The sequence below is a fragment of the Homo sapiens genome, chromosome 7 (genome assembly GCF_000001405.40).
Source record: "Homo sapiens chromosome 7, GRCh38.p14 Primary Assembly".
Lineage (NCBI taxonomy): Eukaryota > Metazoa > Chordata > Mammalia > Primates > Hominidae > Homo > Homo sapiens.
The window spans coordinates 116400938-116422826 of NC_000007.14; the positions used below are offsets into that span (position 1 = coordinate 116400938).

Below are 21889 nucleotides of genomic sequence, written 5' to 3' on the forward strand. Positions count from 1 at the left end.
CGTGATTCCTAAACCATGATTTCTAATCTTGTGGCTAATTTGTTAGTCCTACATAGACAGTCTAGTCCCCAGGCCAGAAGGGGATTTGCCTTGGGAAAAGCCCATTATCATCTTTTTTTAAAATTATAAACTATAAACTAAGTTCCTCCCAAAGTTAGTTCAGCCTATGCCCAGGAATGAATAAAGACAGCTTGGAGGTTAAGAGCAAGATGGAATTAGTTAGGTCAGATCTCTTTCACTGTCTCAGTGACAACTTTGCAATGCCAGTTTCAATGGCAAAGTCGAGGCAGAAGGGTTAAGTGATTGGCCAAGAGTCACATGACTGGACTGGAGACAGGCTATAAACTCAGATAGCTTGTCTAAAGAGTCCATGTGCTCAACTAAAGGGCTTTGCAACATTTGTTCCAAGAAGGCTGTCCTTCCTTTATGAAGGAACCACTCTTGACATATCCTTGGATATCAGTGAATTTTCCAAGGAGTCATGAGAATGAATTTGCACTGATCCATCCACCCATACTCAACTAGTCTGAAGGAACATTGTTACAAGATTGGCTGAATGGGATAGAGTTTTTGGTTCCAAGAGTAAATTTATTGGCTCACTTAGAGATGAATCTGAAACTTGGGCTCATTAACATGACGCTTTAATGAAATAAACTAGTAAGCCATAGACGTTGTTACAAATAATCTCTTTGATTGCCCAAAGCCATATGCTGTGAAGGAAATAAATAATTACAAGCAGAAACATTTTTTCCTTTATGGTAAACAAGATGAAACTCTCTAGTTATATTTTCCTATTTTTTTTTTCCTGGAGCTATAAAATTCCCAATGTTGCTAAATACACTGTGTTCCCCAAATTCACATTGTATTGCTTTCAAATGGCTTTAATTCCTTCAAAATGACTGATGGTTCTATAGTTTGCTGTGAGATCAGCCCTAAAGAATAGGAGGAAGTTCTCCAAGTTGCCACAAATGTTGATCTCTCCTACATAATACAATTTTCACAAAAACCTCATGGACAGTCCTCTCAATAGCAGATCAAAACACTTGATTAAAGATAATAATACTGTAGACTGCTTCTCTAAAAAGAGCTGATGGCTTCTCATAGATAAGAAAAAACAAACAAACAAAAAGGATCATTGGTTTAGTGCCATAACCAGCTCTTTTTTTCTTATTAAAGAATGGAGCAACAATTTTCCAATGCAACCATTCTTTCAGTAAACTTTTGCCGGCCATCTTCAAGGTTCACCTCACATTTGGGAAGATGTGAACAAAGGTGTCTACATTGAAGAGGACAGAGCTCCTCTCATGGTACAAACCTGTACCATTTGGCTACTCAATATAGTTTCTGAGGAGACATTTCAAAATCCTGTGTGCACTCTGCTTGGTTTGAAAGCAAACTTCCATTTCCCTATTTCTTGTTATTTTGTTTGCGTTTTTATACATCTAGCCATCTAGCACTCACTGGCAACCTCATTTTTGTTACTGTTGGCTTAAAAACTTTCATTTTATCCAAGGTTTATTACTTCATATTTGCCTCCTGTGTTTAGCCTAAAAATGCCTTTAGTTTAGCATGTTGTCTAAATCTATTAATAATTATCGAGGTCAAAATTTTCAATCTTTATAAAGGTATAAGGAATACGTCTACAGATGAAATTATGTGAAGCAAGACTTTATGCTTTGGCTTTCATGAAACCTGCTCCTCCCCACGCAAAGAATAGCCAGGAACTTGTTCCTTTCTTCCAATTTGTTCCTATGTTCACATGGCAAGACCAGATATGGGACATTAAATGCTTTCTTAGCCATACATAAATGGCTTTCATCCTTGCAAACTGACAGTTTTATAGTAAGACTAAGTTCCAAACAACAGTGGCTTGTTCAGGCCAGGGCCAGACTCTGTGTGCCACACAGATTCACTTTGGTGAAGTGAGAGAATAACCTCAGTCCTTTTTTTATTATTATGGTGAAAAAATACAATTTTATGCTCCAGAGTTAGAAGCCTAATTTCCGAAAGGTAAAAATAGTTGCTAACATGAAGCAACTTCTTTGTGCATCAGTTTACGAGTTCTCCTTCATAGGTTCTCACTGTATATGGGTTATTTCTCCAAAGACGCAGAGAAAAACTATAAAAGACAATTCTTTATTGAATAAAACTCTTCCATTCACCTCAAAAGTGATTTCTCAGTCCCTCAGCCTGCCTTTTCTTATCAATCCCAACATCATCCCAAATGCAGAAAAGACTTGAACCTGAGTTTTTCTGACTGAAGTTTAGCATTGATTTTTTGGATATTTTATAGACTGTGTGCCAGGCATCTAGGCACGGCTAGAGGAATAATAGTGCACAGGCAAACACCAGTCATTTTCAATTTGCAAATGATCTCTTTTCCTATAAATAGATGTATGTGAAGTGTGTCACACCCCTAACTCTGTTTCATGAGGTGCTTGTGACATTTCTGGCTCCTATTACCCCACAAAGCCTTTGCTGTCATCATACTCTTATTAGTGAAATACAATCCATGAAGAGCAAATTCCCGCAACAGGAAACAATAGCAAATATGATTTAAGATTGCCTGAATCTGGGGCCAGCCACAAAGAGCTGCTGCACTGCTATTAAATGAAAGGCCAACAGCCAAGAACAAGGTCTTGAAGAGGCAGATTCACAACTAAATACTGCAAAGGGCTCAAATCAGGGAAAGTGACCAACTATGAGCAACTCTCAAAAAGAATACAAGTGGAAATGGATTTCCAGACTTACTTGATTGCATTAGTAGGAGGCTCTATTTTCTTTCAAGTGCCTGGTTTGGTACTATATGTAATCATGAGCTTTATTTGTTATTTTTGATTATTAATTGGGGAGCAAACTAAAATAGCACCTTGGAAAGCTAAATTTACCAGAAAGGAAAAGCCAATATGTCATTGTTTCAAGGAAAAAGCTGTTTTATCTTGTGTATACAGTTTCTTTTCATCTGTATTTCAAATATCAAAAATAGACTGATAAATTCCCAATACTAAAGGTAAAAGCACAATTATCAAATATATATTCATCCGTTGCCATCTATATTCTTTTGATGGTAACTGCTCCTTCCAAAAAGAGAACACAGTAAAACATAATAAATTTTGAAGTAATAAAATTGGAAGGCAATAATTTTAAAATGCTCCCTAGAAATGGCTTGTCCTCCAGGACAGAGTCCAAGTGGGCTCTAGGTGGCTGACATACATGCTACATCTGCATCTAATGAAGGCCATACTCATCTTGCAGTCAGAGAACTGGATTATTTTTTAGATTGTCCACTTTGGTATATGCTATGTGATGTCTTCAAGAGTCTTCTGCAGAGAGAATTATCATGCACACACCTTGGGTAAATTAAAAACAAACTCCGAAAACAAGCCAGCATTTGGTGTTTATCTAAGAACTCTAGTGTCCTTAGGGCTTATCTAACAACCCTAATAAGCCCCATGTTTGGCTTAAATACCTGACTACACATTTTAGTAGAGCCCAGGAGGCAAGAGTTAAAATGAACGTGTTAAGGACAAGTACTCCTGTTTGAATTAGCAAAAACTAGTTATTCAACACCTCAAATCCGAATGTGTCATTAATATTATTGATGAGCACTCAGACAAAGGACTACTAGACCAGGAAAGCAGGATTTGGGTGGGGAAAGCACTCTGTACATAGGTGGAATTACACTGATGAATAAACGACAGCACTTCAGAAAGAACACACCCAAATGCAAACTTTACATGCTATATGACTTTGCCATGGATCAGTTCTATTCACAGAATCATGTGAATGTCAATTAGTTTGCAAAAATAAAATTCCAGACTAAAATTACTTAAACAATAGGACATATATTTTCTTCCAGAACTAGAAAGCAGTAAGTAGTCAGTTCAAGAGTTAGCAAATTCCATGATTCAGTGATGCCATGAAGGATCTCTTCCCTATAGTTCCATTCTTCCCTCTTCAGGGTGTTGACAATATTTCCCCTCACAGTTTTAAAAGGGCTGCAGCAATTCCACTAACTCTTCCTGTTTTTACTGATTTAGGAGATGTTTTGTTTGTTTGAGATGGAATTTCACTCTTGTCACCCAGGCTGGAGGGCAATGGCACGATCTCGGCTCACTGCAACCTCAGCCTCCCAGGTTCAAGCAGTTCTCCATCTTCAGCCTCCTGAGTAGCTGAGATTACAGGCGGCCACCACTACATCCAGCTAATTTTTTTGTATTTTTAGTAGAGACAGGGTTTCACCATGTTGGTCAGGCTGGTCTGGAATTCCTGACCTCAGGTGATCCACCCGCCTCGGCCTCCCAAAATGCTGGGATTACAGGCATGAGCCACCGTGCCCAGCCTGATTTAGGAGATTTTTTGAATGAATGTTTCCCCATTTGGTGTAGGCTCTTAGGACAAGTTCAAGAGACTCTAAATAACTGTTTGGTTTTTTATTTTCCCCCAGTTACACGTTTTTGTGCTAGGGAAAGAGTCTACCATGTGCCTCACTCTGTCATTGTTACCTCTCAAGATTTCTTGGGCCTAGGCTTCAAAATGGTGCACCATCGCTTCTGCTATATTTTTACAAGATCGGCCTAAATTTAAGAAGCAGGAAAATAGACTCCACCTCCAGATTGGAAGAATCACAAAGTCACACTGCCAAGGGTTTAGATGCAGGGAAACTTAGATAACTGAGAACACAGTCAATTCACTAGCAGAGGAATACCTTTCTGAGACTTCCTCAGTAGATTTCTCTTCTGGTCCACCAGGCAGGATTGGATCACATGCCTGTGCTCCAGCAGCAAGAAGGACTCGGATAGGCAGAGTCTGACATTTTCAAGTTCCAAAGTGAGAAGCAGACTTTGCCAGTGTTGAGGACTAGGGAGAAAGTGGCTCTGTGGCAGGCAACCCATAGTGTCTGCCAAAATGTACAATCTTTCACCTCAATTTGAGAGGGCAGTTCAATAGTATTTAGACAAGAACAAAAGTACTGCCCAGTGTCAAATATAATTAAAATTAAATATTTATTTAATTTTTACTTATTAAAATTAAATATTTATTTAATTTTTACTTATTAAAATTAAAATTAATTTTATTAAAATTATTGTTATTTGTAATTATTTATAACGTATTTATAATTATTTATTAAAACTAAAATTAAATATTTATTCAAAAATAGGAATAAATATTCCTAGCTCATGATATATACTTTGGAAGGTTTGTGAGAAGACGCTGGATATTAAGAAAAACATTCAGAAGAAATACATTAAACCATTGGAGGCTAAGGAAAAGAACAGTGAAAGTTGCAGTCCATTTGAATACATTTTTAACAAATTGCTATCTATGTACTTGGAGTAGCCTGATCATAATATCATAAAAGTAACAATTGATATCACTATATCATTTATAGGATTTTAAAAATACATTACATATGCCAGACACTTTGTCAAGTATATTACATATGTACATATGTTACATATATAATATACATGATATATGCCAGACACTTTGTTAAGCATATTACATGTGTTAAGTATGTTATATGACCTTATGAAGTAGATTTTTTTATCTTTTAAAAATAAAAAGAAATAAACCTCATATAAGTTAGATTAATTGGGCTCAGTTAACTCAGTTAATAAATGACAAATATCCATATTCAAACCTACATCTATCAGGTTCCCTAGTGTGAAATCTTTCTACATATCATGCTTTCTCTTTTTTTTTTTTTTTTTTTTTTTTGAGATGGAGTCTCACTCTGTCGCCCAGGCTGGAGTGCAGTGGTGCCATCCCAGCTCACTGCAAGCTCCGCCTCCCAGGTTCATGCCATTCTCCTGCCTCAGCCTCCCGAGTAGCTGGGACTACAGGCGCCTGGCCACCATGCCTGGCTAAATTTTTGTATTTTTAGTAGAGACAGAGTTGCACTGCAGCCAAGATGGTCTCAATCTCCTGACCTCGTGATCCTCCCCTCTTGGTCTGCCAACGTACTGGGATTACAGGCATCAGCCACCGTGCCCAGCCATCATGCTTTCTTTACTAAGCACATAGAAGAAAAAGAAAAAAAAGGAAAACTTGGGAAAGCAGGAAGTATGACATTGCTGAGATGATAGCATGGCTGTGTGAATAACCATAAAACTTGTGACAAAAACATTGTTTGTAACAAACACTTTCCACTCGATACATCAAGAACATCTTTTCATTGTATTGAATGGTAAAAAAGTTTGATAACTACTATCAAGTTTTTTATTCTACTATATGAATATATGACTATTTTAAAATGTATTTCCAATTATAAGTTGAAGAAAGACTATTAAATGTTCAAAATCTTCCTTTTCTATTGTCTAAGCACAGAACTGGAGTGCAGGTCCCAGCTTCCCATACTGTGGAGTGGCCATGCGTTGTCTGGCCCGTGAAATGTGAGCAGAGGGATCTGTGTAACTTACAGGCTCAGCATGAAATATCACCCATGTGACCTCCATATACTTTCTCATGAAGGTCAGCCAAAGACAGAGGCTCTCTTGAAGAGGACTCCTGGGACTCCAGAAATGGAGGAGACATTAAATGGTAGGAGTTTGAGTCTCTGAATAATTATACGAATGCACACTCATCAGGAACATCCATTGTGGAACTTCTGTAAGCAAAAAATATACATTTCTGAATGTTGAGTCATAAAATTTCTGGATTACTTTTTTTTTTATTATACTTTAAGTTTTAGGGTACATGTGCACATTGTGCAGGTTAGTTACATATGTATACATGTGCCATGCTGGTTTTTTAATAAAGGCAAGTACTATTGTTATTTACTCTAAATAATACATGAGCAATGCTTCAGAGGTCCTCTTTGTAGCTAAGTCTTTCTGCAAATACCTAATTATTTACTTAGAAAATATTCTTGGAAGTAGAATTTCTGGTCAAAGGGTATGAACACTTAAAGTTTTTGAAATTGCCTTCCAGAAAGCTTCTGCATTATTTAAAAACCCTACCAGCAAGTCAATGAAAATTTCCAAAACAACTCGCTTCATTAGAATTTAACCATATTTTCTAACATAGATAATTTTGTAAGGAATTTGCTAGGCTCTTGTGTCAGCAATTTTACTAATTATTTATATGTCTTTAAGTCTATGTAACATACCCATCTTTCAATTTGTTTCAAAGATCAAATGTCATGGAATATTAACAGTACATATTTAAAATATTAAAAAATATAAGGTAATACAAAAATAAATTAGATACAAATCTAATTTCATGTATGTAAATGTAACAGTTATACATAGTAACAAATTTTATTCTGCCTTGAAAAGATTATCTGCTAAAACCTTGGCCATATGATCTTTAATTAGATTGTTACTTTGCTGGGTTATCATAGCAGCATTAGTTACTTAACAATACAGATGTTTCCTTTTTGTAGTTTTTATTGGCTCAAGATGAACACAAGCTTTAGTTCAAACAAAAGTGAGAGAGTGCAATTTAAATGAGGAGGTGATAGAATATGCACTAGAAGAGAAAAGGAGATAGATGTGTCGACTGTTTGTTTTGTTTTCTTTTGAAAATTGCTGCGTCTCCACTCCTGGTTTGACACTTGGAGTCCAGAAACTTTCCAACTGTGTTGAACAGAACTTCTGTCTCCCCTTGGGAGCAGCAGCAAGCCAGGGTAGACCACAAGTACCAATGAAAATACCTCATCCTATTTATACTGGGTCACATTTCCCCATTTTTGACAGATAGAACCTTTGGAGAAGAATATTAATGACCATTGGGAGATGACACTAGTCATTTAGGGAAACACTCAATAAATAGGCAAGTGATACTTCACACAGGGACTCCCTAGATTTGCAAAATGCTTATACCCCAGAGGAAGCTTTTCCTGGAGATGTGATAATTTCTTTTTTAGGATAATAAAGCTTAATTCTGTAGAACTACCAGACAAAGCAAGACAGTCCACTAGGGAGGAGCCAAGATGGCCGAATAGAAACAGCTCCGCTCTACAGCTCCCAGCGTGAGCGACGCAGAAGACGGGTGATTTCTGCATTTCCATCTGAGGTACCGGGTTCATCTCACTAGGGAGTGCCAGACAGTGGGCACAGGTCAGTGGGTGCGCGCACCGTGCGCCAGCCGAAGCAGGGCGAGGCATTGCCTCACTCAGGAAGCACAAGGGGTCAGGGAGTTCCCTTTCCTAGTCAAAGAAAGGGGTGACAGACGGCACCTGGAAAATCGGGTCACTACCACCCGAATACCGCACTTTTCCGACAAGCTTAAAAGACGGCGCACCAGGAGGTTATATCCCGCACATGGCTCGGAGGGTCCTACGCCCGTGGAGTCTCGCTGATTGCTAGCACAGCAGTCTGAGATCAAACTGCAAGGAGGCAGCAAGGCTGGGGGAGGGGCGCCCGCCATTGCCCAGGCTTGCTTAGGTAAACAAAGCAGCCGGGAAGCTAGAACTGGGTGGAGCCCACCACAGCTCAAGGAGGCCTGCCTGCCTCTGTAGGCTCCACCTCTGGGGGCAGGGCACAGACAAACAAAAAGACAGCAGTAACCTCTGCAGACTTAAATGTCCCTGTCTGACAGCTTTGAAGAGAGCAGTGGTTCTCCCAGCACGCAGCTGGAGATCTGAGAACGGGCAGACTGCCTCCTCAAGTGGGTCCCTGACCCCTGACCCATGAGCAGCCTAACTGGGAGGCACCCCCCAGCAGGGGCAGACTGACACCTCACACAGCCCAGTACTCCAACAGACCTGCAACTGAGGGTCCTGTCTGTTAGAAGGAAAACTAACAAACAGAAAGGACATCCACACCAAAAACCCATCTGTACATCACCATCATCAAAGACCAAAAGTAGATAAAACCACAAAGATGGGGAAAAACAGAGCAGAAAAACTGGAAACTCTAAAAAGCAGAGCGCCTCACCCCCTCCAAAGGAACGCAGTTCCTCACCAGCAATGGAACAAAGCTGGATGGAGAATGACTTTGACGAGCTGAGAGAAGAAGGCTTCAGACGATCAAATTACTCTGAGCTACGGGAGGACATTCAAACCAAAGGCAAAGAAGTTGAAAACTTTGAAAAAAGTTCAGAAGAATATATAACTAGAATAGCCAATACACAGAAGTGCTTAAAGGAGCTGATGGAGCTGAAAACCAAGGCTCCAGAACTACGTGAAGAATGCAGAAGCCTCAGGAGCCAATGCGATCAACTGGAAGAAAGGGCATCAGTGATGTAAGATGAAGTGAATGAAATGAAGCGAGAAGGGAAGTTTAGAGAAAAAAGAATAAAAAGAAATGAGCAAAGCCTCCAAGAAATATGGGACTATGTGAAAAGACCAAATCTACATCTGATTGGTGTACCTGAAAGTGATGGGGAGAATGGAACCAAGTTGGAAAACACTCTGCAGGATATTATCCAGGAGAACTTCCCCAGTCTAGCAAGGCAGGCCAACATTCAGATTCAGGAAATACAGAGAACGCCACAAAGATACTCCTCGAGAAGAGCAACTCCAAGACACATAATTGTCAGATTCACCAAAGTTGAAATGAAGGAAAAAATGCTAAGGGCAGCCAGAGAGAGGTCAGGTTACCCACAAAGGGAAGCCCATCAGACTAACAGCGGATCTCTCGGCAGAAACCCTACAGGCCAGAAGAGAGTGGGGGCCAATATTCCATATTCTTAAAGAAAAGAATTTTCAACCCAGAATTTCATATCCAGCCAAACTAAGCTTCATAAGTGAAGGAGAAATAAAATACTTTACAGACAAGCAAATGCTGAGAGATTTTGTCACCACCAGACCTGCCCTAAAAGAGCTCCTGAAGGAAGCGCTAAACATGGAAAGGAACAACCAATACCAGCCGCTGCAAAATCATGCCAAAATGTAAAGACCATCAAGACTAGGAAGAAACTGCATCAACTAATGAGCAAAATAACCAGCTAACATCATAATCACAGGATCAAATTCACACATAACAGTATTAACTTTAAATGTAAATGGACTAAATGCTCCAATTAAAAGACACAGACTGGCAAATTGGATAAAAAGTCAAGACCCATCAGTGTGCTATATTCAGGAAACCCATCTCACGTGCAGAGACACACATAGTCTCAAAATAAAAGGATGGAGGAAGATCTACCAAGCAAATGGAAAACAAAAAAAGGCAGGGGTTGCAATCCTAGTCTCTGATAAAACAGACTTTAAACCAACAAAGATCAAAAGAGACAAAGAAGGCCATTACATAATGGTAAAGGGATCAAATCAACAAGAAGAGCTAACTATCCTAAATAAATATGCACCCAATACAGGAGCACCCAGATTCATAAAGCAAGTCCTGAGTGACCTACAAAGAGACTTAGACTCCCATACATTAATAATGGGAGACTTTAACACCCCACTGTCAACATTAGACAGATCAACAAGACAGAAAGTCAACAAGGATACCCAGGAATTGAACTCAGCTCTGCACCAAGCGGACCTAATAGACATCTACAGAACTCTCCACCCCAAATCAACAGAATATACATTTTTTTCAGCACCACACCACACCTATTTCAAAACTGACCACATAGTTGGAAGTAAAGTTCTCCTCAGCAAATGTAAAAGAACAGAAATTATAACAAACTGTCTCTCAGACCACAGTGCAATCAAACTAGAACTCAGGATTAAGAAACTCACTCAAAACCACTCAACTACATGGAAACTGAACAACTTGCTCCTGAATGACTACTGCGTACATAACGAAATGAAGGCAGAAATAAAGATGTTTTTTGAAACCAACGAGAACAAAGACACAACATACCAGAATCTCTGGGACGCATTCAAAGCAGTGTGTAGAGGGAAATTTATAGCACTAAATGCCCACAAGAGAAAGCAGGAAAGATCCAAAATTGACACCCTAACATCACAATTAAAAAAACTAGAAAAGCAAGAGCAAACACATTCAAAAGCTAGCAGAAGGCAAGAAATAACTAAAATCAGAGCAGAACTGAAGGAAATAGAGACACAAAAAACCCTTCAAAAAATTAATGAATCCAGGAGCTGGTTTTTTGAAAGGATCAGCAAAACTGATAAACCGCTAGCAAGACTAATAAAGAAGAAAAGAGAGAAGAATCAAATAGATGCAATAAAAAATGATAAAGGGGATATCACCACCGATCCCACAGAAATACAAACTACCATCAGAGAATACTACAAACACCTCTACGCAAATAAACTAGAAAATCTAGAAGAAATGGATAAATTCCTCGACATATACACTCTCCCAAGACTAAACCAGGAAGAAGTTGAATCTCTGAATAGACCAATAACAGGAGCTGAAATTGTGGCAATAATCAATAGCTTACCAACCAAAAAGAGTCCAGGACCAGATGGATTCACAGCCGAATTCTACCAGAGGTACAAGGAGGAACTGGTACCATTCCTTCTGAAACTATTCCAATCAATAGAAAAAGAGGGAATCCTCCCTAACTCATTTTATGAGGCCAGCATCATCCTGATACCAAAGCCAGGCAGAGACACAACAAAAAAAGAGAATTTTAGACCAATATCCTTGATGAACATTGATGGAAAAATCCTCAATAAAATACTGGCAAACCGAATCCAGCAGCACATCAAAAAGCTTATCCACCATGATCAAGTGGGCTTCATCCCTGGGATACAAGGCTGGTTCAATATACGCAAATCAATCAATGTAATCCAGCATATAAACAGAACCAAAGACAAACACCACATGATTATCTCAATAGATGCAGAAAAGGCCTTTGACAAAATTCAACAGCCCTTCATGCAAAAACTCTCAATAAATTAGGTATTGATGGGACATATCTCAAAATAATAAGAGCTATCTATGACAAACCCACAGCCAATATCATACTGAATGGGCAAAAACTGGAAGCATTCCCTTTGAAAACTGGCACAAGACAGGGATGCCCTCTCTCACCACTCCTATTCAACATAGTGTTGGAAGTTCTGGCCAGGGCAATTAGGCAGGAGAAGGAAATAAAAGGTATTCAATTAGGAAAAGAGGAAGTCAAATTGTTCCTGTTTGCAGATGACATGATTGTGTATCTAGAAAACCCCATTGTCTCAGCCCAAAATCTCCTTAAGCTGATAAGCAACTTCAGCAGTCTCAGGATACAAAATCAATGTACAAAAATCACAAGCATTCTTATACACCAACAACAGACAGAGAGCCAAATCATGAGTGAATTCCCATTCACAGTTGCTTCAAAGAGAATAAAATACCTAGGAATCCAACTTACAAGGGATGTGAAGGACCTCTTCAAGGAGAACTACAAACCACTGCTCAAGGAAATAAAAGAGGATACAAACAAATGGAAGACCATTCCATGCTCATGGGTAGGAAGAATCAATATCGTGAAAATGGCCATACTGCCCAAGGTAATTTACAGATTCAATGCCATTCCCATCAAGCTACCAATGACTTTCTTCACAGAATTGGAAAAAACTACTTTAAAGTTCATATGGAACCAAAAAAGAGCCCGCATCGCCAAGTCAATCCTAAGCCAAAAGAACAAAGCTGGAGGCATCACACTACCTGACCTCAAACTATACTACAAGGCTACAGTAACCAAAACAGCATGGCACTGGTACCAAAACAGAGATATAGATCAATGGAACAGAACAGAGCCCTCAGAAATAATGCCGCATATCTACAACTATCTGATCTTTGACAAACCTGAGAAAAACAAGCAATGGGGAAAGGATTCCCTATTTAATAAATGGTGCTGGGAAAACTGGCTAGCCATATGGAGAAAGCTGAAACTGGATCCCTTCCTTACACCTTATACAAAAATCAATTCAAGATGGATTAAAGACTTAAATGTTAGACCTAAAACCATAAAAACCCTAGAAGAAAACCTAGGCATTACCATTCAGGACATAGGCATGGGCAAGGACTTCATGTCTAAAACAACAAAAGCAATGGCAACAAAACCCAAAATTGACAAATGGGATCTAATTAAACTAAAGAGCTTCTGCACAGCAAAAGAAACTATCAGAGTGAACAGGCAACCTACAAAATGGGAGAAAATTTTCGCAACCTACTCATCTGACAAAGGGCTAATATCCAGAATCTACAATGAACTCAAACAAATTTACAAGAAAAAAACAAACAACCCCATCAAAAAGTGGGTGAAGGACATGAACAGACACTTCTCAAAAGAAGACATTTATGCACCCAAAAAACACATGAAAAAATGCTCACCATCACTGGCCATCAGAGAAATGCAAATCAAAACCACTATGAGATACCATCTCACACCAGTTAGAATGGCAATCATTAAAAAGTCAGGAAACAACAGGTGCTGGAGAGGATGTGGAGAAATAGGAACACTTTTACACTGTTGGTGGGACTGTAAACTAGTTCAACCATTGTGGAAGTCCGTGTGGTGATTCCTCAGGGATCTAGAACTAGAAATACCATTTGACCCAGCCATCCCATTACTGGGTATATACCCAAAGGACTATAAATCATGCTGCTATAAAGACACATGCACACGTATGTTTATTGCGGCATTATTCACAACAGCAAAGACTTGGAACCAACCCAAATGTCCAACAATGATAGACTGGATTAAGAAAATGTGGCACATATACACCATGGAATACTATGCAGCCATAAAAAATGATGAGTTCACGTCCTTTGTAGGGACATGGATGAAATTGGAAATAATCATTCTCAGTAAACTATCACAAGAACAAAAAACCAAACACCGCATATTCTCACTCATAGGTGGGAATTGAACAATGAGAACACATGGACACAGGAAGGGGAACATCACACTCTGGGGACTGTTATGGGGTCGGGGGAGGGGGGAGGGATAGCATTGGGAGATACACCTAATGCTAGATGACGAGTTAGTGGGTGCAGCGCACCAGCATGGCACATGTATACATATGTAACTAACCTGCACATTGTGCACATGTACCCTAAAACTTAAAGTATAACAATAATAAATTAAAAAAAAACTTACAAATAATTTTTTTCTCTCCATAAACAAAAAAAAAGACAGTCCACTAATACCACATTACAGTCTTTTTAAAGATCTCGGCTATTTTATTTTTTCTATGAATTCTAGAGTAATATAACTTAGGCATTATCTGGTTTAAAAATACATGATCTGTTTTCACCTATTATAAACGAAATGAGTTAGTATCTCATAAGGATTCTTGAAAGATACCAAGGGTCCAGAGGTCATGCGTGACATCTTCAAGGGGGCCTTCAAAGCCCCTCCAAGTCATTAGCAGCAACCAAAGCTCCAGAAGTCTCCTCCCAGACAGAGGTGCAAACAGCCTCATGGCTGGAAGTCTCATTTACCACTTTGGTGGGCTAAGGAGAAGGGGAGAAAATGCTTGCATAGAAAACTAACTCTATTTCTTGAAATGAGTGAGTCCTATTTTATCCTATTTTTTTCCTCCCCAAATCTCATGGCTATCAGCCTAATACATGAAAGTACAAGACTAAGATTATTCTGTCTAAAATAAGAAGATAACAGGCCATGTATAGTTGTATATTTTATTCAAAACCATTATACGTATATAGCATTATTGCCAAACCGCTTTAAAAATGAGTCACAGTTGGCCAGGTGCTGTGGCTCAGGCCTGAAATTCCAGCACTTTGGGAGGCCTAGCGGGGAAGGATCACCTGAGTTCAGGAGTTCAAGACCAGCCTGCCCAACATAGTGAAACCACGTCTCTACTAAAAATGAAAAAAAAAAAATACCCAGGCTTTGTGGTGCACACATGTAATCCCAGCCACTTGGGAGGCTGAGGCAGGAGAGTCGCTTGAACCCGGGAGGCGGAGGTTGCAGTGACCGGAGATTGTACCACTGCACTCCAGCTTGGGTGACAAAAACGAAACTTGATTCTTTAAAAAAAAAAAAAAAAAAGTCAAAAATGTTAAGGGTGCAGGTGTGTCCACTTTGCTGTTTCAGCTACACACAGCACACATCACACAAGGTTAAATGAACAATTCAGACTTTCCTCTGGGAAATTTTAGTTATTTTAAAGAATGTAAAGACTAAGTATTTAGTTCAGGAGGAATTCCGTTGAAGCAAATTATGTAAGAACAAATTTTTGTAGCACAATTTCCATCACATTAGAACTCTGTAGATAATTCTAGTGATACCAGTACATTCAGATCTCATATTTTAAAGACAGAGGCATATATAAGGAAATGTTAACTGAGCTTTAAAATGTTGGAAAAATTTATTAATGTTATGAGTGAAGATTAAAAAAATATGTACTTTGTCGGAATAGAAATTAACAGGGAAATATTAAACGTTATAAATGCCATTAAAAAGAATAATCACTTAAGGTGACCCATCAAGGGATGTTAATAGGGAATGATGATTGGAAAGTAGGAAAAGGAAAATTGAAGAATAAACACAAGAAAAGTTTCCTGACAGTCAAACCTTTTTCAGTCTCTAGGGAGTCCATGGAAAATCCATCAATTAGATCATACTAAGCAGTACTGTTCAGAATATTAACAAAGCTTTGTACTTCTTCTCAACTTTGCACTTTGGGAAAATATGTGTGCTGCTCTCAGTAGCAAGTTATTCAGGTTTTGGCTTGTTTTCTTTATAAACCCCTCCTTCATCAGCCGTCAATAAGAGCCAAGAAGACCTAGTTAAAGATGACAGAGAACCAAAATGTAAATGAGGAGTACCCAACTCTAACTCCCAATATAAGTAGTTATATTAATGCACTCAATTTTCTCAGAAAGGAAAACTGATGGTCCACAAGTGATTTGTAAATATTTTCCAAAATACCAATAGCAGGCTATAATTTTTATGAAAGAAACTCAAACTTCATATAAGTAATTGTTTTCATTCTATAGGATATGAGTTAGTTTCAAATTTTCATGATTAACAGAGGAATTCTCATCTCCCATTCAGATCTTAGGGACTCTTAGATATTTACAATTGAAGTCAGATTTCTTTCATGATTAAGAAAGTTAACCTTAAATGTGTTTGAGAACTAAATGAAGTAAACTAGTTGTTCTATGTTAGTATTATTTGATGTCATCTTGTTTCAGTATGAATAAGATGCCAGGTCACACTATAATTAATAATAATATTAATATTGTTTATCATTAATGGCTTCATACCTAAATGTCTCTGCTTGTTCTATAGCAACGATGGTCTCTGTCACAAATTTCATGATTTTTATTAAGACCTCAAAAGGCTGTGGCAAAGATTTGCTTACCCCGGTAAGACTTTGTGTAGACATTACAGAAGACAGATGTCCTTAATGAGTGCCATTTGTATTCAAATAGATTTGAGGCTCTACTAGATAGGCCTTCCCTGGAATATCTTCATGAACAGCTACATATCCAATGTGGTTCGGCATTCATGTGTATTCCATTCTTTTTTTTTCTCTGTACTTTCTTTTCTTAAAAATAAATGTTATTATGTATATTTAAGGCATACAACATGATGTTATGAATTAAATATAGACAGTAAACAGGTTACTGTAGTGAAGCAAATTAATGCACCCATCATGTACACATTTCATTTCCATGACCTGTTACTTTCATGGCTAATATAATCTGAGGGCTAGAAGAGAAAGTAAGCTCATCAGAATAATCTTTCCACACTTTCTTCTCCCTTTTCTGTGACCATTACCTGTTTTTCCACCCCAAATTATTACTCTATATACATTTTCTTGAATTTTTTTATGCCCCCCTCCTCATGGCATTTAAGCTACTCTGTATTTATTTCTACACCGAGCCTTTTCCTTCACTACTGCTGTTTGTAGCAAGTGTGGAGTCTGCTTTTAACTGCTGACTTTAAGTGAGAGTTTCCTTCCTTTTGATTGTGTTACTGGACTCCCTTCCACCTTCCCTGCCTGTCTTATCTCTACTGAAGATGAGACAGCATAGAGATTACCACCTCCACCACCCCCAAACACACGCGTGCATGCACACAGACACACACACACACACAGACACACACACACACACACAGAGCACACTTCCTTAGGCAGAGAGAAACACTGAGCTCTTTGTCTTTCTGCTTGTCATACAGAAAAGGGAGGGGAGGAAGGGAGATACAGAGGAAGGAACAGGCCAAGTTCTATGACTCTGTCTATCTCTGCTCAGGGCAGAGAACTTATATTTCTGAAACCAAACTTTACCCCTCCTCCTCCCGTCACACAGGATGGCAGAGTCACCTTGGCAAGCACATGTGTCCATTTGCTAAGATGCCCTGGGAAGAGACTGTATTTGTTCATGGAAAGCAGGATAAGACGCCTGAAGCAAAATAAGTCTTATCTCGCTTGGAATCAGAGTGCTACTAGGCATGATGTGGAAGCGCAGAATAGAATTGTCTTGTCTGGAAGGTATATTGGGATGTTTTCATCCATAAGAGTAAAACTCATTAGCAAAGGTTTAAGCAAATGGAGAATTCTTTTTATTACATAGTAAAAATCTGAAGCAGCTGGTAACATTGGTTCAGTAGCTCAGTGATGTCATGACTGTTGTCTAATTCATTTGTCCTTTTTCTTGAGGTCACAAAGCAGCTGACACAGCTGTAGAGCCCATGTCCTCCTTAGAACAGATAGAACAGAGGACGAGGAAAGATCCCAGCAGATATCTGCTTACTTGTCATTAGCCACAAAGCCTTTTTCAGTTGTAAAGGGGGCTGGGGAATACAAGTATCTTACATTTTCAACCTCTATAACTGAGGTTGAAAGGGAAGAAAAGGTTGAGGTTAAGTACTGGGCAAGCCAATAAACACTGTCTGCCACAAAAGGAATCCCATGCCCAGATTTATCCATTTCCTTTTCTTTTTCTTAGAAATACCTATGAAGGACATCACACCTGTTGAATAGCCCACATTTGACTAGGCTTACAAATTTTAGTATCACTGTTTACTTTCAAATTAGGAAGATCTTTCTTGATTTATAGGAATGCAAACAATTAAACAAACAAAAAACAAATAACCACATTAAAAAATTGGCAAATGACATGAACAGTCACTTCTCAAAAGAAGACATACATGCAGCCAACAAATATACGAAAAAAAATGTTCATCATCACTAATCATTAGAGAAATTCAAATCCAAACCACAGTGAGAGACCATCTCATGACAGTCACAATGGGTATTACTAAAAAGTCAAAAAACAACAGATGCTGGTGAGGTTGCAGAGAAAACGGAACACTTGTACACTGCTGATAAGAATGTAAATTAGTTCAACCAACTGCGAAAAGCAGTGTGAAGAGTTCTTAAAAAAAAAAAAAAAAAAAAATTAAAGAAGAACTACTATGAGAGCCAGCAATTCCACTACTGGGTATATACCCAAAGGAAAATAAATTATTCTACCAAAAAGACACATGCTCGTATGTTCATTGTAGCACTATTCACAACAGCAAAGGCAAGGAATCAACAAAGATGTCCATCAACGGCGGACTGGATAAAGAAAATGTGGTACACATACACCATGGAATACTAGACAGTCACAAAAAGAAAAAAACTGTGTCCTTTGCAGCAACATGGATAGAGCTAGAGGCCATTATCCTAAGTGAATGAACAAAAGAACAGAAAACCAAATGGCACATGTTCTCACTGATAAGTGAGAGCTAAACATTGAAAACACATGGACACAAAGATGAGAACAATAGACATTTGGGACTGCTTGAGAAAGGAGGATGGGAGGGGGCTGTGGGCTGGTAAGGCTACCTCTCAGGTACTATGCTGACTACCTGAGTGACAGGATCATTTGCATACCAAGCCCCAGCAACAAACAATTTACCCATGTAACAAACCTGCACATGTACCTCCAGAAGCTAAAACAAAAGTAGAAGAAACAAAAAGAATTTGAGCATGCTGTGTTTTGGGGCCTGCAGTTTTATCTTTAGATGGCTTGTTGTCTTTAGATGGCACAACCATCCTGCTGTGTACAACTCAGCTATTGTAGAGGTCACATACATGTATTCAGAATTTAAATGCTAAATTGTAGATAGGGAAACTGAATGAAAAAATAAGCCATCCTGTTCATCCTTCCATTATATTTTGTTCAACATACACAATATGACTGTCCTAATCATATCTCAGGCTCAATTTTTCCTTTCTTTTGCAATTTCAGATGGCGCCTGCAAGCCTGAACAGTTAAACCCTCTATTTGTCCTTGAGTTTTCCTCTTGCCTAAATTCTTCCTCTAGTTCCGACTCTACCCACCCAGTCTTTGATTTTTCTTACAGAACTCTTTGCTTCCCTAGTTATTCATCTCTCCCTCTCTTTTAGAGAAAGCACTTCCTCCTCTGGATACTGTGTAATCTTTATCAGGACCACACAATGTGCCTTTATGTGTGATGATAGTGGACAGATGTGATATTTCCAATGGATTCTATCTTGCTTGCTTATTTATGTATTGCTCAGACTTCAGCCTTTAGTCTGAAACAAAATAAGTTAGAACGTTCATTGCTTCTAATTTATAATGAGGTGAGTTTTCATTCATTTGAAATGATTTGCTAATTATACAAAGTTCTTAAAACCCCTTAATCAAAAACCATGGAATATACCAGAGAAGGTTAGAAATTCCAAATTGGTCTTTTAAAAATGTTTCTAAAAGCAAGGATGCAGTACTATTTAACAATAGATTGTTTTTTCAAAGAACAATTTTCATAATATTTATGCAAAAGGAACACAAGTAAATGTTCCACGGCCCATGTGTCAAAAGTTTCCAATTATATCTCTTTATCTTGAAATGGCTTATTTTATGTAACAGAGACTATTAGACCCAGAATAGTTTAAGACCTATCTGTAATTAAATCTCATTTTTGCGGAAGACAATAGAGAAGCCACAGAAGCTGAATAACCCATCCAAGGGTTCACAATTTGTGAGTGGCAAACCAGTTTCCTGATTTCCAATTCAGGGCTGTTTTTACCATCACCTCCATCTCAAGGGCTCACCCCTATGACAAGCAGCTACAGATACCATACCCAGATCTGGTGGTTCGTGTGATAAGAGGCAGAAGTGTGGCCTTTGCAGGGCTGTATCAGGAACCAAGTATTGGGTGATGGGCTAAGAACACAAAGAGGGAGTAGAAATGAGACCAGAAGTGTGGACCTGCTAAACATGGGACAGTGGGACACTAGCAGATATATTCTCTATATTCTCTGAGCCAGATCTGGATGAGAGTGGCAGGGCAAAAGTTGCAGGTTTAAAAGAAGGTAGAAATGACCACTTCCAAAGACAGATCTCCCACAGTATCAAAAAAGTAGACAGGTATTGCCTGGGGGAGGCAGGTTAGTTGTAGTTAGCACATTGTTTTACTCATAATTAACACATTGATCAATTGACCTTCAGATCATTTTAGTTAAAAAATGTGATGGGGTACAGTCATGGAAAGAAAAACATTATTTCTACAGCACCTGAGCTGAAAAACATTTTCAGGGCATTTGTACAAACAACATAGCTAACATCCACCGTAGAAGTATGCTTTCTCTGCAAGAAAATCCTTTTTAAATTTAGTCCTCTCCTTAGCTTTTCTACTTTTTTATTCATTCATCCATGTAGCCATCAGATTTAGGAACTACCTACTATATACCCAACAACTTAATCACTGTCAATATTTACAATAATGAGATGGCTGTTTTTTTTTCATGTGGTAGAGGCTTGGAAAACATGAATTCCTTCTTTAAAATGTTTGTAAATGTTTGTTCTACTAACTTGAAATAAGTAATGTGTTTGTGTTCAGAGCAAACAATTCCAATGTCTCATTTTAGGAAACAAATTAATATTATTGAATTTTAAATCAACAATAACAAAACACTCTTAAAAGAATTGGCCAGGGGAGGTGCAGTGCTCATTCTTGTAATCCCAGCACTTTGGGAGGCCTAGACGGGCTGATCACCTGAGGTCAGGAGTTCAAGACCAGCATGGCCAACATAGTGAAACCCTGTCTCTACTAAAAATACAAAAAATTATCCAGGCATGGTGGTGCACACCTGTAATCCCAGCTACTCAGGAGGCTGAGGCAGGAGAATTGCTTGAACCCGGGAGCCAGAGGTGCAGTGAGCCGAGATCGCAACACTGCACTCCAGCCTGGGCAACAGAGTGAGACTCGGTCTCAAAAAAAAAAAAAAAGAATTGGCCATGCCATGAAAAAATGGGATGCATCATTTATGTAAAATCTATTCACAAATAAGTAGAGTACTTAAATAAATGTCAGAGTTAAAATGGTGACTTAACTAATACTTTTTGTAAACTTGAGAGTAATTCCTCACCATCTTGAATGAAGATATTTTGTGTATCTTGATTATGTGGCAAGACTTGGTTGTCTTTTTCATCTGCCTGACCCTAATCCCACTCCTGATCTTCAGTAAAATAGATTAAAGAGAAAGAGACTCTGTTAGTATAATATACGTGCAAATGAAGGTGTTAATCACATTAAACATGTATCTACTCATGTAATAGTCATTCTCTGAGTAGCATCAATGCCTGGATTACTCCCCCTGCTCTCCTCCTACGTTTTTGGATCTCTCTTAAAGGAGTAGAATTATATTTTGCAGGTCCTGCATATACCTGCAGGGGACCTTAGGGTGACGTGTAAAACAGATCTTTCTCTTGTAAACATTGCTGCCCTGTAGCGTAATATAGGATTATTGTTATATGTTACTAATAAGTTTACATTCTAGTCTACCAAATGATGGGGAATGGGGATAGTATATTTTACTACAGTTAACATTCATAATTAGTTTACATACAAATTAACTGAACAAATTAAATTATATATGCAATTACAAATATATCTGGTAAAAATTCTGGTTCTTGTTTGGTCTTCCAGTGTGCTTTCAGCAAAAACTGCTAATATGCCTCAAGCCACAAGCCATATGAGGCCAAATAAAACTATTTTTTAAATACACTCCCCAGCTGATTCTAATTGCCCAATTCATTTGTGTTTC

General features: G+C 38.4%; 1 long non-coding RNA gene across 5 annotated transcripts in view, besides 3 other annotated features; it reads right to left on the minus strand.

Annotated features, from left to right (window-relative positions):
* Positions 1-15168: 15168 nt before the first annotated feature.
* The window catches only part of CAV2-DT (CAV2 divergent transcript), an 83411-nt gene continuing 76690 nt past the window's right edge, over positions 15169-21889 (minus strand). For all 5 annotated transcript variants that reach the window (NR_188012.1, NR_188010.1, NR_188009.1 and 2 more), the window contains 2 exons: positions 16187-16372; positions 15169-15604 (listed from right to left, as the gene is read on the minus strand). This is a non-coding gene — a long non-coding RNA (CAV2 divergent transcript). The remainder of the gene's footprint in view (positions 15605-16186; positions 16373-21889) is intronic.
* Positions 19646-20611: a silencer, noted in NCBI's record as "nonconserved region 1 (NR1) negative regulatory element (NRE) in the greater CFTR locus". NCBI's record gives its function as "strongly represses an SV40 promoter coupled to the HS2 beta-globin enhancer in the forward orientation in transfected K562 and 293T cells {active_cell/tissue: K562 | 293T}" and the evidence as "EXISTENCE:reporter gene assay evidence [ECO:0000049][PMID:18436892]".
* Positions 19798-20092: an enhancer, noted in NCBI's record as "tiled region #12966; K562 Activating DNase matched - State 8:EnhW". NCBI's record gives its function as "activates a minimal TATA promoter and a strong SV40 promoter by Sharpr-MPRA in K562 cells {active_cell/tissue: K562}" and the evidence as "EXISTENCE:reporter gene assay evidence [ECO:0000049][PMID:27701403]".
* Positions 19798-20092: a silencer, noted in NCBI's record as "tiled region #12966; HepG2 Repressive non-DNase unmatched - State 24:Quies". NCBI's record gives its function as "represses a minimal TATA promoter and a strong SV40 promoter by Sharpr-MPRA in HepG2 cells {active_cell/tissue: HepG2}" and the evidence as "EXISTENCE:reporter gene assay evidence [ECO:0000049][PMID:27701403]".